The sequence below is a fragment of the Homo sapiens genome, chromosome 4 (assembly GCF_000001405.40).
Source record: "Homo sapiens chromosome 4, GRCh38.p14 Primary Assembly".
NCBI classification, from domain to species: Eukaryota; Metazoa; Chordata; class Mammalia; order Primates; family Hominidae; genus Homo; species Homo sapiens.
In genome coordinates this window covers 102,417,552-102,435,102 of record NC_000004.12, presented here as the reverse complement: position 1 = coordinate 102,435,102, position 17,551 = coordinate 102,417,552, and the positions used below count along the sequence as shown (strand labels likewise).

At 37.5% G+C, this 17,551-nt stretch overlaps 1 long non-coding RNA gene across 1 annotated transcript in view; it reads left to right on the top strand.

Annotated features, from left to right (window-relative positions):
* NFKB1-AS1 (NFKB1 antisense RNA 1) overlaps positions 1-16,501 on the top strand; it is an 83,885-nt gene extending 67,384 nt beyond the window's left edge. Inside the window, exons 3-5 of the long non-coding RNA NR_136202.1 lie at positions 15,309-15,406; positions 15,744-15,839; positions 16,115-16,501. This is a non-coding gene — a long non-coding RNA (NFKB1 antisense RNA 1). The remainder of the gene's footprint in view (positions 1-15,308; positions 15,407-15,743; positions 15,840-16,114) is intronic.
* Positions 16,502-17,551: the final 1,050 nt, after the last annotated feature.

Below are 17,551 nucleotides of genomic sequence, written 5' to 3'. Positions count from 1 at the left end.
CTTTCACAAAGGTGTGTTTGGCACCTTTGCAGTTGACCATAAATGCATGGATTTATTTCCGTACTCTTTATTTTGTTCCATTGGTTTATATGTCTGCTTTTATGCTAGTACCATACTGTTTTGATTACTGAAGCTTTACAATATATTTTGAAATCAGGAAATATGATGCCTCCAGCTTTGTTCTTCCTCAAGATTGTGTGGCTATTCAGGGTTTTTTTGTGATTTCAGATGAATTTTAGAATTGATTTTTCTATTCATGTAAAAATGCCATTGGCATTTTGATAGGGATTGCATTGAATCTGTATATTGCTTTTGGTAGTGTGGACATTTTAACAATATTGATATTAACATGGGATATCTTTCTTTTTTTTGTTTCTTCTTGAATTTCTTTCATCAGTGATTTATAATTTTCAGTGTGCAGATCTTTCACCTCTTTGGATACATTTCTTCCCAAGTATTTTTATTCTTCTTGTTGATTTTGTAAATGGGATTTTTTTAACTTCTTTTTTGATAGTTCATTGTTAGGGTATAAAAATGCAACTGACTTTTGTATATTGACTTTGTATTCTGAAACTTTACTGCATTTGTTTATTAGTTTAATACTTTTTTGGTGGAGTTTTAGGGCTTTTTCCATATAAGATCATATCATTTGCAACCACATAATTTTACATCTATGTTTGTAATTTGGATGCTTTTTGTTTATTTTTTTTTGACCCATTGCGCTAGGTCTGATTTCCAGTACTATGTTAAATATAAGTAGTGATAGTGGGCACCCTTACTCTGTTCTTAATCTTTGCGGAAAAGCTTTCAGCTTTCATCATTGAGTGTATTATTTGCAGGTTTGACATTTATGGTCTTCATTGTGTTGAGGTACTTTCTTTCTCTGCCTAATTTGTTGATAGCTTTTATGATGAAATGATGTCGTGTTTTGTGAAATACTTTTTCTGCATTTATTGAGATGATTATATGATTATATGATTTTTATCCTTCATTCTGTTAATGTGGTGTATTACACTGATTGATTTACATATGTTGAACCATCTTTGCATGCCAGGGATAAATCCCACTTGATTGTGGTATGTGATCATTTTAATGTCCTGTTGAATTCAGTTTGCTAGTATTATTTGTGTTGAGGATTTTTGCATCTATATTAATCAGGGATATTGGCCTGTAATTTTTTAAAATAATTTCTTTGTCTGGCTTCAGTACAGGGTAATGTTGGTCTCATAAAATAATTTTGGAAGTGTTTCCTTCTCTTAAATTTTTAAAAGAGTTTGAGAAGAATTGGCATTAATTATTCTTTAAATGTTTGGCAGATTTTACCAGTGAAGCCATCAGGTACTGGGCTTTTCTTTGGTGGGACATTTTTTTTTTTTTATCAGTAATTCAATTTTCTTACTTGGTATTGGTCTGTTCAGAGTTTCTATTTCTTCCTAATTCTGTCTTGGTAAGTTTTATATTAAAAAGAATTTATCCATTTCTTCTAGGTTATCCAATTCGGTGTATAATTTTTCATAGTGGCCTCATCACCTTTCGCCTTTCTGTGGTATTAATTGTAATGCCTCCTTTTTCACTTGTAATTTTATTTGAGTATTCTCTTTTTCTCTTGGTTAGTCTGGCTAAAGGTTTGTCAAATTTGTTTAACTTTTCAAAAAACATTTAGTTTGTTGATCTTTTCTATTGTTATTCTAGTCTCTATTTCATTTATTTCTGCTCTAATCTTTATTATTTCCTTTCTTCTACTACCTTTGGGTTTGGTTTATTCTTTTTTTTTCTAGTTCCTCAAGGTATTCTTTTCTATACCTTGAGGTATAAAGTTCGACTGTTTATCTGAGAACTTTCCTTTTTCTTAATGTTGGCATTTGTCACTATAAACTTCTCTCTTAGAACTGCTTTTGCTGCATCTGATAAGTTTTGGTATGTTGTGTTGCCATTTTTGTTTGTCTCAAGTTATTTTTTAAAATTTCTTCTTTGACCCTTTGGTTGTTCAGGAGTGTTGTTCAATTTGGGGGTGAAGTTTTGGTCACCATCTGTATGGGAGTGGGTGGGAACATGCAGCCTGGTCCTCCCTCTTCTTCTTGGAGGACTCGAGTACTTGAGCTCAGCCATTTACCCCTCCACCCATTATGACAGGCCCCTTTTCAAACAATTTAGCCCACTTGCCTCATGTACCTTCCCAAAGTCCTGATTTTCTGCATATGTGTGAGGAGAGGGTTATTGGTGAAGATCACTTCTACATATTTTTAGTTCCAAAGCACAAAAAGGCTATTTCCTTGCCACCTTCCACCCCCAATGCTATCTCAAAGGTAATCAAATTCTATCAAGACTCAAGGTTTCCAAGCTCAAGTTTTTTCTTGTGAGGAATTAGAATCATTCCAGGGAAAGGACATGGTTTAATTTTCTCCCAGTGAGTACTCAAAAATCAAGGGGATAGTTAAATATTTTTACATATTAATTATAAAAACTATCAGGAAACTAGTTCTGATGGAACTAATGTAATTCTGTTTCTATCAAGCAATCTATAGTTATTCCTTTTTATTTAGTTAAGTCTCATTTAAATATGCTAGCTCTGTTGTAGTTTTGCTTATTGGTGTTAAAGGCAGGGTCTCTGTCCAAAAATGGGCTAGGATATTAAAGGTAAATGAGCATTCCTTTACTTCTTGTCTCAAACCTACCTAGTAGAGGCAGATGTCAGAAGCAAGAGCCCAAAGGAGAAATTAATACATTAACTAGAGTTGGGGCTTCATGCTCCTGCTAACGTTTTTTGTGTGCCTGGTGATCCTTTGACAGTTTTGGAAGATCTGGATTTTGTTTATATTAAGGAAAAGACAAATTTCTATACAAAAAGCCATGGCTCTGTTGGATGCTGATATATCATGTAGCACTTGCTGTTTCCAACTAGGAAAACCTCCTGAACAATGCATCTTGGATTTGTATTTCAGGATGGCATAGAGTATTTCTTTCTGATTGCCAGGATAAATTAGGAAGAGCCCTTAGCCTCAGAAGCAGGATAAAAGGGAGATAGAATGAAAGTCATAGCCCTCCCCTGCCAATATTTCTTCTTTAGCCATTGAAGACAGTACATAAATGAACCTAAGCTGACTCGTTGCCTAAATTTCTCATTGTTTTTTCTGCCTCTAAGTCTTTACTTAGTAAAATTTTGTTAATTAGTAATTATATAGAATCAATACAGTTGGATCCTACTGTGCTAATCACAGGACTTTAGTAGAAGAAGAAAAAATTGGTGAGATTCTTTTGCCTAGGTTGGGCATGCTAATAAAGGAAGCAAGTAGTTATTTTAATATTTTGCTTCTATTTGAGAAATAAATGATGATTAAAAGCATACTTTTTAATGCAATCAGTCTATGTTACAAAGCATATTATTTTAAAAACTGTAGTAATTTTTTTTACTTTTCAACAAAGTTATACCATAAAAAATAGATACTGCCTTTGAACATGAATAAACAATTTTAAAGGGAAATATACTGCCATCTAGTGTCTAACTTTCAGAATATCTGAATTACTGTATTTAGAAATATTTACAACACCGGTAGTACCACATGGTGGCACTATAGACATGTACATTAAAGGGACAACGCCAAATTTATGGGCTATCTGTTTTATCTTGGTCCATAAGTGTTTGTTAAATGTGGCAAATACATTATTTTCCTTTTTAGGTTAGCACTTTATATTTTCTAAGAAAACCTTACATATTTTTGGTACTGCTCTTTTTTTTTTTTTTTTTTTTTTTTGAGGCGGAATCTCTCTCGCCCAGGCTGGAGTGCAGTGGCGCGATCTCAGCTCACTGCAAGCTCCGCCTCCCGGGTTCACGCCATTCTCCCGCCTCAGCCTCCCTCAGCGTCCGGAGTAGCTAGGACTACAGGCGCCCGCTACCACGCCCGGCTAATTTTTTTGTAGTTTTAGTAGAGACGGGGTTTCACCGTGTTAGCCAGGATGGTCTCCATCTCCTGACCTCGTGATCCGCCCGCCTCGGCCTCCCAAAGCGTTGGGATTACAGGAGTGAGCCACCGCGCCCGGCCGGTACTGCTCTTTAAATTTTCATAAGTCAGAAAAAACTCGAATACCTTTATATTTAATTCCTGGTTTGTGAAGTTTTAGGGCTTTAAATACTTTAAACTATATTGTCCTTTCACCTCTTTCCCCCCCTTATTCGGATAACTATAACCGAAACCAGCTTCAACACGGAGAAAAAGGTTTAAAACATTTGCACAAATACTAAATGCAAATATGCAACACATTTCCCACATAATCTAAAAGAAAAAAGAAAAACAACTCAGATGAGACTATCTTATAACAGGGCTCTTTGTATTTAGAAAGTGTGGTGGTGGTGGGGACAACTTCTGTTTTAAGTGCTAAATCCAGTGGGAAAAATTTGCCTCCTCACAAGAACATTTGCCTGAGATGCTGATTCATTACAAAGGGACACAGAGCTTTGGGTTCAGAAAATAAAGAATGCTTCATATGGAAAATTTTGTAATTTATTATGTGAGCATGCTTCAGGTTTCACTTTGCTTTTGGTATCATCAAATGTTGTAGTAGTAACTGTACGAAATGAAATTCATTCTATTTACTCTAATAAGCAGATTCTTGAAGAAACTGCTCTCATAAGCTAAGGTTCCTTATGATTCTGCAAGGAAGAGAAGACTAAAGCAAATCACTGTCTGAAAACATAACAGCTGGCTAAAGTAAGCATTGAACAACACTAAGCACTTCAAAACATCAAGTAAAATTTTGGCATTTAGTATCACATAATGTATATGATCTATATAATATAATATAATATATACATACATAATATCTAGTATAGTGTTTGCAGTTTTGTAAGTCTAATGTATTACAAGAAGCTTAAGATGTAATTATAATGATTTTTATCTAAACACAATTGCTAGTGAAATAGGAAGACTAATTGCCAAAATACTTATTTGGTGTATTCTCTCATCAGTGGTTATCAAGATTTTAAAAACTTATGAGAAATGAGTTCCAAGAGCTTAATCCAGAGTAATACAAGTTTACTTGTTTTGCTTAGCTTTCTTTATCATCCTCTTTGGCTTCTATTCCAAATCTTCATCATTTCCTCAACATTTAACTGCCAATGTTCTCAGTAAACCACCTTGTTAATCTGCTTTTTTTTCTTTTTTTTTTTTTTTTTTGAGATGGAGTCTCGCTGTGTCGCCAGGCTGCAGTGCAGTGACGCGATCTTGGCTAACTGCAACCTCCGCCTTCCGGGTTCAAGCGATTCTCCTGCCTCAGGCTCCCAAAAACCACCTTGTTTCTTACTTGAGAAAGTTACAGTCATCCATCAATTGTCCACCCTGCCCAGCACTTACTAATATATAGACACTTTCTTAACTCCTTTCCACATATTTGGAGGATGATGTGTCCTTCTAGCACAAAGCCAAGCCCTCTCCTGGAGCCCTTGATTCCATTTCTTTCCTCCCCATCTCCATTCCTGGAATGTTGCTTCATCAGTCATTCCCACTCTGTTCTTATCTTCCACCTTAGCCCTTCTGTTGGCTCCAATCCTGAGTCCATACACCCCAAATCTTTCTCATCCTTAAAAAATGAACAAACGAAATACCCCAAAACAACAAAAAATAAATTCTCATGACCACAAAACAAAACAAACACAGCAAACAGAAAGTCAGCCCTTTCTTGACCACAAATTCTCTTTTGTCTTTCATTCCATCTTTTTTCTTCCTTTTTGTCCATGAGTTGCCACTGCTTTTCCACTCCCTTTTCACTCCTTAACTGACTGATCTCTAATTTTCTCTCCCATCACTAGACTAATACAATTCGTGAATGTTGCCAATGATCATTTTAACTCATCTTATTGGCCCTACTTGCCAAATTTGGGAAAATTGGTCACAGCCTCTTCTTGAAACTGTTTGATGTTTGCCGCTTTCTGATAATCTCTTCTTGGTCTTCTCCTAATCTGCTCATTTCATAATTTTTTTTTTCCTGTTTGATTCTCAGATTTTCCCTCTTCCCCTTGTACATCAAAAAATTTTAAACCCAGGTTCTTTAGTGATCCACAGGCCTCCTGAAATTCTGTGCAAAAATTTGGGTCTTTGATTATGTGTAATTTTCTAATAAGAAAGTCCATAGTTTACAGCTATTCTCAAAAGCATTAATTTCTCTCCAAAAGTGTAATAACCATTGTTCTATGTGGTCTTGCAAGGCAATCTTGGCAATTAATTTAGTTTTTTAAACAACTGACATATATCAAGAGCATACTAAGCAAAAGTATAGTAATTTTCTTAAGTAACCCTCAATTAGGTATGATAATCTTCACTTTACAAATCAGAAAATGGAGGCATAGAGAGGTGACTTGGCCTAGGAGACATAGCAGGTAGGTAGCTGTTATAGTTTTAATTGTCTTTTATTTGCTGATGATTCTCAAACCTGTATCACCAGCCCATATCCTCCAAGCTTCAGATTCATGAATAACTCAGTAAGTCATTTCTGGGGATACTCTATGGGGTATCAAACTCAGCATTTTTAACACTGAGCTTATTAACTTCTTGCCCCAACCTGTTTCTTCTGTATTCTCCATTCAGGGCCCATGCTACGGGAGTCATCTTGACTGTTTTCCTTTGTCTCCTACATTCAACCAATTTTCAGTCCTATTGAATTTAAATTCAAATTATAACTGTTTCTGCTAAGATACTAATCACCTTTTACCTGGTCTTATGTAACAGCGTCCTACCTATCTGAAATCCTTTGATGACACAGCATTTCATGGTGACTGAATAAATGGGCTATAAGGCCTTTGAAATATAATCCCAAGCCTGGCTGTCTCTTTACAACCTTCTCCAGCCTCTCCCTTCCCGTAACTTATACTTCAGCCACATCGCATGCCTGGATTGATCCAGGGATAAAAATCTAAACTATTTGTTGGGCTGGGTAGACTTTATCTCCTTGAATTATGAATTAATTATGGATTCTCTATGAATATTATTTCTTACGTCTTTTGATAAAAGCTGGGTAGTGACTGTCAGGTATTTTATTATCTGAAAAATGCCTTAGAGCAATTATTTGGTGTTATGATTGAAGCACATGTATTATAAAGCTAATATACTTCAAAAAGTATGTATTTTAGAGATCAATTGAGCAAAGAGAAAAAGGTTAATGTCCCCTTATGAAAATTAAGGTGCCTAAGCTAGACTTTGTCTTGAATAGACATTGGCCTACCTCTGCATGGAGAAGGCCTAGGAGCACTATAGACAGTTAATAGATTTTTCTCAGAATACAATTCTGGGTCTGCTCCAGGATAGGGGCAGATCAATCAACAAAGTTCCAAAGGTCTACACTGTAGACCGTGGCTTTGGCAATTTTAGCCTGGAAGATTTTCAAAGCAGAATTACCCCGAGAAAAATCTCAGAAATCCATCTGAGAAATGTCTGAGTTTGAAAGCTTCTCAGTGAACCCTCTAGAGAAAATTACTTGTGAAATGTGCCCCTTACTAATAAAAATGACTGACATGCTGTTTGGAGTTGTTTGATATAAACCAATTAAACCTTGGAGAATATTTGCCAAAACTGTGAATTTGTGTTTAGAGATAGTTGACCTTATGCAAACTGTTTTTTTTGTTGTTGGTTACCTGGTAGCAAAATTGTGTATTGAGTCCAGTACTACCATGGATTTTTTTTTTTTTTCGCAAGGGGAATTCTACTTGAGTTATGAAGTTGAGTGTGGTTTCTTTCAGCTTCTGATAGTCTCAATGAGATTGCTGCTAATTGGGTATTTGTTTACAGGTTTTAACAAACTGTAACTGTTAGAATTTTTCCATGCATTTATCCAAAAGAGGCAGATAATTTAAATAAGTACTCAGGGGCTACCTAATTTTTCACTTACTAGCTATGTACCAAAACATGGTGTGTTAGAGGAGCTCTCAGTGGCTCAACATGTATATAATGAATTGTGCCTCGATCACTTATAAAATGGCCCCTCTTGTCTATCAATAACCTCACACCTTCTTTGTTGAAATTTCAAATTCCAGTTTTGTGGGTACATAGTAGGTGTATGTACACAAATGTTCACAGCAGCAGTATTAATAATAGCCAAAAAAGTGGAAACAACCCAAATGTCATCAAGCGGTGAAAAGATTAAACAAGGTGATATATCTATAAAATTAAAAACTAGCAATAAAAAGGAACAGATTGCTGGGCACGGTAGCTCATGCCTGTAACCCCAGCACTTTGGGAGGCTGAGGCGGGCAGATCACCTGGGGTCAGAAATTTGAGACCAGGCAGGCCAACATGGCGAAACCCCATCTCTATGAAAAATAAAAAAAATTAGCCAGGTGTGGTGGTGGGCGCCTGAATCCCAGCTACTTGGGAGGCTGAGGCAGGAGAATTGCTTGAACCCGAGAGGCAGAAGTTGCTTGAGCCAAGATCGCGCCACTGCACTCCAGCCTGGGTGACAGAGCAGCAGAGCGAGACTCTGTCTCAAGAAAAAAAAAAAAAGAAAAGAAAAGAAAAGAAAGAACAGATTACTGATACATGCTGCAACATGGAGGACCTCAAAAACATTATGATTCCTGAAAGAAGCCAGAATTAAAAGACTACATATTGTAAAATTCCATTGTAATGAAATACCTAGAAAAGACAAATTTATAGAGACAGAAGCTCTGGGCATATGTGGGAGTAATTTACTGCAAATAGCCACAAGGGAATTTTGCCAGGTGATGGAAATATCCTAAAATTGTATTGTGGGTTTGACTGCACAGTTCTATAAATTTACTAAAAATCACTTACAATAGGCAGATTTTATTATATGTAAATTATATATCTCAATAAAGTTATTTAAAAGTGAAAAGAATTTCAAATTCTAAATCATGTGCTGTAGCACGTAGGATGCTAAGAGTAGATCAATAGACATTACCATGGGAGGATAAGGGAAAGAGGGGAAAAAATGCATGTTCTAAGGCGTTAAAAAAAATAACAACCTTCCCCCTTTAATTTCTCTTCAAAAATTGCAAGAGTAATGTGAACTTAGTGCAATAAGTGAAACAGTATAAAGGAAAATAAAGGCAAAATGAGCTATTAAAATCTTTTCACCTCATTTACCCCCTGCACTTCCCATCTCTGGGTCCCCAAATGACAAATGCTAACAATCTGGTGGGAATCCTTTCACGTATTTCTACATGTTCATGTGCATATGTGTGTGCTTTGGCTGGTGTTATTATTATTTTTTTTCCAAATCGGATCTCACCATATGCACAAGGTTATAGTTTACTTTTTGTATTTCCACACCTTCAAAACATCCCTTCAGGTCAATTACATGTTACCTATGGAGTTCCTTAATATTCCATGTTGCCAATGTATCACAGATAAGTTGAACACCCCTTACCAACTTCCAGATTGTATTCATCAATCTGAGAAATAAAACAAGTTGTTTGTTATTATTATCCCTTATTCTGGGATATTATCCCTTATGTTTGGGCTGCTATAACAAACTACCATAGAATAGGTGGATTATAAACAATAGACATTTATTTCTCACAGTTCTGGAGGCTGGGAAGCCCAAGATCAAGGTGTCAGAAAATTTGGTATCTGATGAGGGCCTGCTTCCTGGTTCATATAGACAGGCATCTCCTTGATGTGTTGATGTGTCCTTACATCATGGAAGGAGTGAGGGAGTTCTCTGGGGTCCCTTTTATAAGGGCACTAATACTATTGTGCCCTTTTAATTTGTGCACATAAATAAATTGGCAGAGCCCCCGTGACCTAATCACCTACCAAAGGCCCCACCACTAGATACTCTTAATACCATCACTTTGGGGTTAGGATTTCAACATAGGAATCTTTGGGGGACACAAATATTCAATCTGTAGCATCTTGTCAGTAAAAAAAAAAAAGTAAGACAGCACCTATCCTAAGAATAGAGAGAAAGATAGGACTTTATCATTGCTTTTACCTTTAATGAATGAGTTAATTCAACAAAAATTGATTGGACTGCTGTTTTCTTCAACATCTTTTTAACATAACTTTGTGTATTTATACTTTACTTTGATTTTCAAAAAGATTGAAAATGGCTTAGGAAAATTCATTTATATAACGTGAAGAAAATGGGACAGAGGGAAAGAAAATCAAGAATAAAATGAAGCTGGAGATAGTATCGGTGCATAAGAATGCTCAGAAAGATGGACTCCCAAGGCCCACATCTCTGCTGGGTTTGTCTATCTTAGTGCCCCTGAGACCCAGGAAGTTCAGCTCAAATCCTATGGGTCTTGAATTCAGCTCCTCCACTATCAGTGGAGCTGGACTTGGACTTTTTTTTTTTTCTTATGGACACCAAGTACTTGTTATAATAAATCTGGGTCTGAAATGAGGTGTAGTGAATAACTTGGAAAGGTGAGGTGGCTCTGGGACCTCAGCTGGGGTGACTCAAATGGCTGGGGTGACTTGGATGACTGGAGCTAGAGTTTTACTTCCAAGACAGCTTCTTCTCTCACGTGTCCCTCCTGGGCTGAGATGGCTGCAGGACCAGCTCAGTGGGGATTGTCGGTGGAGTATCTGCCTGTGCACCCTCCAGCATGGTGGTCTCAGGATAGTCAGAATTCTTCTATCTGGCTCAGGCAGCTCCAAGGGTGAACAAGGCAGAAGCTGCATGGCTTTTTAATGAGCTCACCTTAGAAATCAGATGGCATTTTCTCCTCTACACCCCACAAGCCCACCCAGATTCTAGCACATGGGCTTCACTTCTTGAAAGGAGGAAGATTAAAGAATTTGTGGCCACTCCATAAGAGTCCTCGTGTGAAATATTTACCTGAGAAGCTCATATTTGCATTGTATCAAAGAGTAATACTGAAAAGCTAATAGGCCAATAATTTTGTGTAAGAGTTGGTCTTTTAAAAATGGGGCTGACTGTATTCTGAGTCTAATCAGGCAGGATCATACTCTTAGAGACTGTAAATGTCAACAAACTGTCAAAGAAGACCTTGACTAAATTATGGCCAATTATTCAGCTTGAGCTATTTCTCAGCTCTTCTGAAGATGAAAACTTACTGGGACCAAGTAGAAGTAGGTCTGGGTCACAAAGTTCAGGGTCATTGCCCTAAAAATAAATCTGTGAAAAGCAAACTCAAGGTTCTCAGGTGTCTCATGTGATTTGAACTTTCATGGTCTCACTGAACGCATTAATACTTTGGATTCTCTGACTCCAGGTCTGCCTTCATTAGTGGTTCTAACAGTGAAACTCAGTCCCTGCACAATCATTTATTATGCCTAAGGGTTTTTAATGGAACAAGAAATTTATAGTAAAACCTTGGGTAAGTGGTGGGCACAGTAACAGGTACTCAAAATATAAGGAGGAATAAGGTGGCTGTCTTCAAGGAACTCACAGTCTGTTGGGTGTTTCAGTCATGTGAACAAATAAATTGTAATACAAGACACTACATGTAAAAGACCCATGGGATTTCAAAGAGAGACAATCTACCTGCCTGGGGTTCATATTGGATTGGCATTTTTAACCACTGTCTCTCTGTTCACACCTGAGCCTTAGAGCCTTCTCTTTCATGTGGGCTCCTAGGAAGTCTCTTTGATAGACTTCAAATTCAGTTTCTCTGTCTGCTTAGACTTTTTAGTTTACTGACTGACTAGGATTCTGTATTCCTCTTCTCCTAACATTCCCCCTTCCACCAAATTCCTGTCTCAACTATGTTCCTTGTCTCTGTGCTCTAATGACTAAAGAGCAAGAGATAAATTCATTAAACACATATAAACTGAACAAGGATTATGTGCTGGGAAAAATGTCAGCTGCTGGAGATACAGTGGTGAGCCAGTTAGACGCAGTTCATGTCTGTTGCAAGGAACATACTTTATAGCAGGATGCTTCCGAGGATCTTGGAATTACGTGCTTGTTCTTATCAAATGTGGGTGGATTAAACCTTGAGAAAATTAGAGAAGACTTTCTAGCCAGGTGACATTTGATCTATTTTTTAAATAAAAAAAAAAATAGAAGTTTTCCAGGTTGAGGTGTAGGTAGAGTGGGGAAGATCAGATATTTTACACAGAAGATACAACACATGTAAAATATAGGAAAGGCATAGCTGGTGTGGGGAATAAAGAGAGAAATTCATTTAAGAGTGTGGTGAGTCGTGTCAGAGAGCTCACCTGGTGAAGCAAAGTGGGTCATATTGAGAAAGGCCTGGTATGGCCCTTCTGATTAAATTTTCTTTTGTTGTTGATTTTGGTTTTTGAGATGGAGTCTTGCTCTGTCTCCCAGGCTGGAGTGCAGTGGTGCAATCTCAGCTCACTGCAACTTCCGCCTACAGGGTTCAAGCAATTCTCCTGCCTCAGCTTCCTGAGTAGCTAGGATTACAGGTGTGTGCCACCACACCCAACTAATTTTTCTATTTTTAGTAGAGACAGGGTTTCACCATGTTGGCCAGGATGATCTTAAAACTCCTGACCTCAGGCCGAGGCCTCCCAGAGTTTTGGGATTACAGGCGTGAGCCACCGAGCCAGGCCAAGTTTGGACTTAATCTTGTATGCAAGGGACAGTCAGCAAAAATTTACAAGCAGGACTGTGACAAAATTACATTTTGCTGTTCTTTAAGAAGAAAACCCAGGAGGATGATTGTGACAGTGGGGAAAAGACAAGTAGTAGGAGGATCAGTTAGCAGACTCTTGAATTAGCCTGGATGAGAAGTAATGAGAGCCTGAGCAAAGAGACGGAAAGTGGGGACATATCTCAGAGGTTAATTCTGAGATACAGTTTTAAGATGGAATCCAGAACATTTGTCAACCCAGTAGCCTGGAAGACTGAAGGAATGGTAAGATCATGAATCTAAGATGGGAAAAGAGGACCAGATTATTTGACAATAAGATGATATCAAGTTTTGTTTTGGATACTGGAATATCCAAGAGAAGATAAGCAGAAGGCATTTGGAGACTTTGATCTGAACCTTAAAAAGGAGAGAAGATATGCTGGAGACTCATTTTTTGGAGGCCGTAAAAAAGGCAAATGGACAGAATATTAAACAAATACTTAAGAAGTGAGGTGAAAAAGGCCAACAGAGATGTTGAATCAGCAAACCAGGAGGGGAACCAGCAAAGTTTCCCCTCCTGGAAGGGAGGAAGGATCAAGTACTTGAGGAATACTGCTGTGTTGTTGATCAAAGTTCTTTTAGTGCTTGGGTCAAATGTTGGCACATGTGATGACAGAGATAGAATAAGAACCAGGTGTCAGCTCTGCTGCTTGGGAAGTTGTCATTGATGGCTGCACCAAAGGTGGTACCATATGTGGTCTCGGGCCCTCCTTTTTGGTTCTTATCAGTCAGGAATCAGAGGGGAGTTAGAACACTCCCCAGATTGGTCTTACTTCTGAGAATGAGAGGCCTCTAGAACCTTGGTACATTACTTATCAAAAGTTGAAAAACATGAGGCATAATCTTTGCATCTTGGTTTAGCTCTAACTTTAAATCATTTTTTCAATTTCTGTGCCTGAATTTTATTTGCCTACTGTGTCTAGTTGAATATAATTTTTTGTTTTCTGATAAGCCGTACTCTGTTAGAGATGTTTTTGAGTGGATACGTTATGTAATTTTATGCTGAAAAACATTTCAAATTTTTCTAATAACTTCCTCCCCAAGGAAACTAAGAATTTTCTCTTTCCTCATCAGACATAAATATACAAGCTGACCTGAAAAAAGATTCTTGTCCAAATGTAATTTGTTTCCACAACATATTTATTCATTTAATTTACATTGGGAGGTATATTAATTATAAATACCCAGTTGTTCAAAAGGAGTCATTTAATTTGCATAGTCCCTTGTGAGCAGTGTTTGGTACCAAAGGATCTGGGCTCAATTTAGATGCTAAGTGGCACTAGGGTGTGGAGGAGTTAGGTAAGAATGCTTCTGGCTGAGTGCCCTGGAAAGATTAATATCCAAATACTGGATCATCTATCTGGATGAAAGCACTGATTGTAGATTCAAAGAGAGTAGAATGGCCTGGTGACCTGGAAATAATAACAGGGGAGAAAAGTTACCATAAAACCAAGCCAAACAAAATCCAGTCCAACAAAACCAGACACATGGTCTGTCCTAGAGAAGGTGGTATTAAAACAGGGCTTACAGCACTCAAAAATTCACTTCCAAGGTTTAGTCTTTGCATTCCCTCATTGCTAATAGCATTTTTATTTTTATTCCTTTTAAGTGTTAAGATCTATGTGATGACTCCTTCCTTCTCTTTTAAAATTAAGTGTTAATCAGCAGTGTAATTGAAGCCTTTCCTGTTTGGCTTATAAATGAAAGTTCTCCCTTGTAAGCATTTAATTAGGCTTTCCTTCAGATCATAATCTCTGTTGTGAAATACAGTGGTAATCATGCGACATCTACTGGCTTGTGTCTACTTAACTATCTGTGTTTAAGTTGTATTTTTCTTACTTGATAATAAGTACCTTGAGAGCAGGAAATGCTAGCTTTCAACCATCTATCCATCCATCTATCCATCCATGCATCCATCCATCCATCCACCCATCCACCCCCTCATCCATTCATTTATTGAACATTTGAGTATCTATATGTGTCAGGCACTATGATGAGCTTAGGGATAAACCAGACACAGTCTTTTCCCTCAAGGAGCTCATAGCCTAGTAAGGGCAGTAGTTCCCAACCAGGGCTGCATATAAGAATCACCTAGGCATCTGGGCTCCACTTCTAGGCAGTCTGTTTATATGGTGCTGAAGTCTGACCTGGGCATTGGTATATATTTTTTGGAACCATCAAGGTTATTCTAGTGGGCAAGAAGATTGAGAATCACTGAGTTAGGCAGCTGGGTCTACAATACATTGTCTTATAATTAAAAAAAAAAAAAAAAGAAAATACAGTCATATACTTTTTTTTTTCTTTTACTCCTAGAACCTAGTACAAGGCACAAGTTCTTATTACTTATTACTATTAGGCTTAATCACCTACTTCAATATCATTAGATATTCTGTATTATAATTAAATTATAGTAATTATTTCATTTGTTAATTGACTTTTTGTCCTAACTCAAAGAGACTTTTGGTGTCTATTATTTTTAAAGAAATAATGAACTTAGTTGTTGCCATATTTAGCTTTATAGTTTTCAGATTCTTGATTTTATTTGATGAAATGTCATTTATCTTTTTATGGATAAAATTTTTCTTGTGACATTAAATGCATTTAATATGTACGCACTCTTACTTTGAAAAATTAGACTTTTTTTCTTTTTAATTTCTAGTTTAGTCAGGTAGTTTTTGTTTTTTTTGTTTTTTGTTTTTTGTTTTTTTGAGACGCACTCTCACTCTGTCACCAGGCTGGAGTGCAGTGGCATGATCTCGGCTCACTGCAACCTCCGCCTCCCGGGTTCAAGTGATTCTCCTGCCTCAGCCTCCCAAATAGCTGTGATTACAGGTATGTGCCACCACGCCCAGCTAAGTTTTGTATTTTTAGTAGAGACAGGGTTTCACTATGTTGGCCAGGATGATCTCGATCTCTTGACCTTGTGATCTGCCTGCCTCGGCCTCCCAAAGTGCTGGGATTACAGGCGTGAGCCACCTCGCTCTGCCAGGTAGTTTATAAATTAATTATGACACAGGTAAATTATCTATTCTAATGTACATTATACATTTAAAATGGTAACTGCAACTTCCATCAAATGGCTATGAAATTAGACAATAAACTTCTGACCTAGGGAGAATTTGAAAGGGTTACTTTGGCAATATCTTGGCATTGGGTTTCTGTTCAATAGGGAACCCGTTGTTGCTCAGACACCCGATGTGGAAATTTTTCTTCTCCCTCAGTTCAAATGAGATAAAGATCCTCCTCTCCTCACAGTGAACATGAGGTAAGAGAGCACATGGGGCAGATTACTGAGTGCACAGATCAGCGAGCCCAACTGTAGTCATACTAAGAGAAGCCAGTTTTGGGTGAATAAGTAATTAGTGGCAGACACTGTGGTGTATTAAACATAGCAATTTCCTTAGAAATACTATTGATAAAAGAGTTCTTATGGTAAAATTTTGGCAGTGTTGGAACAAAAATGTAAAAATCTGCAACTAAGAATTTGGTATGGGAAAATAACATCTTGGCATATACCACATTTTCTGGGCTCCCTTGCAGGTCACAGTGTCCATGTAACTAACTCCTGGTTAAGAGGATATGGATAGAAGGCACATGTTCAACTTCTGGCTTCTGTCCTTGAAAAGTGTGATGATTCCATCCTTTGCTGTCTTCCTTCCCGCTGACTGGAATGTGGACTTGGTAGTGAGCTACCTTGGACTATGTGGATGAAGACAAAGATAAAAGGAACCAAGGACTCTGATGATTCTGTAGAGAAGAGGAACCGTAGCTGCTCAAACGTTCATGTGAAAGAAGAATAAACTATCAGATTTAAGCCACTGCTATTTTGGGTCTTTGTGATAAACAGTGTTTACCATATCCTAATTCACTATTCCTTCCATTTCTAGGTCAACCATGTTGAATTAAATATAGTGCTCTAACTTGCAATTTGGTTTTATGTCTTTTTATCTTTACCCATGCTGTTTTCTGTACCCGAACTGCACTTTCAAATACATTTTTCTCTATCAGCCGGATAAACTACTCATTTTTAAAAACTCAGATTATTACTTTCTCTGGGAAGTCTTCCTTTGATATTTCTATATAGAGAAGATAATCCTTTTATGCTTGCCCCCACTAGATCTCATAGATAATTACAATGATGACTCTATATACACTTTATTGAGCACCTACCACGTGCCATGTACTTTAAATTTACTTTACTTACAATAGGTCATTTAATCTCGCAGTGGTTTTATGGGGTGTGTATGTGTTAAACTCACTTTCTTTTATTTTTGTTTTTAATTTTTTTGAGATGGGGTATCACTCTGTTGCTCCCACTGGAGTGCAGTGGCATGATCATAGCTCACCTCACTGCAGCCTCAACCTCCTGGGCTCAAACAATCAACTCACCCTAGCCTCCTGAGGCTGGGACTACAGGTGCTCACTACCATATCGCAGCTGCTTGAAAAAAAAATCTTTTTCTTTTTGGTAGAGAGGGGGTCTTTGTTCCCCAGGCTGGTCTCAAACTCCAGGCCTCAAGCTATTCTCCCACCTTGACCTACCAAAATGCCGGGATTACAGATATGAGCTACTGTGCTCAGCCCTCAGCCTAAACTCATTTTATAGATGAGAAAATGCAGGCTTGGAAAGGAAGACTAGGCAATTTTCCCCATTTCATAATGTTAGAAGTCCTTGAATCTGAACACGAATTAACCTGGTTCCAATTCCACTTTCTATCCACTATGCCTTTATAGAGTTCACTTCATTTGGCATCACATTTATTTGTTTACATGTATATCTTGTCCAATTATACACTAGATTCCTCACATCTGGCTCATTGAGAGAACTCAATAGATATAAGTTTAATAACTAAACTATCATTCCATTTTCCTCACCAGTTACCTTCCAAAGTTATAGTATAACTCCAGGTCTAGCACAATACCCCAGGTGCAGAGCCAAGTATCATCGTGCATTTCATATTTCAGGTAATATATCTGT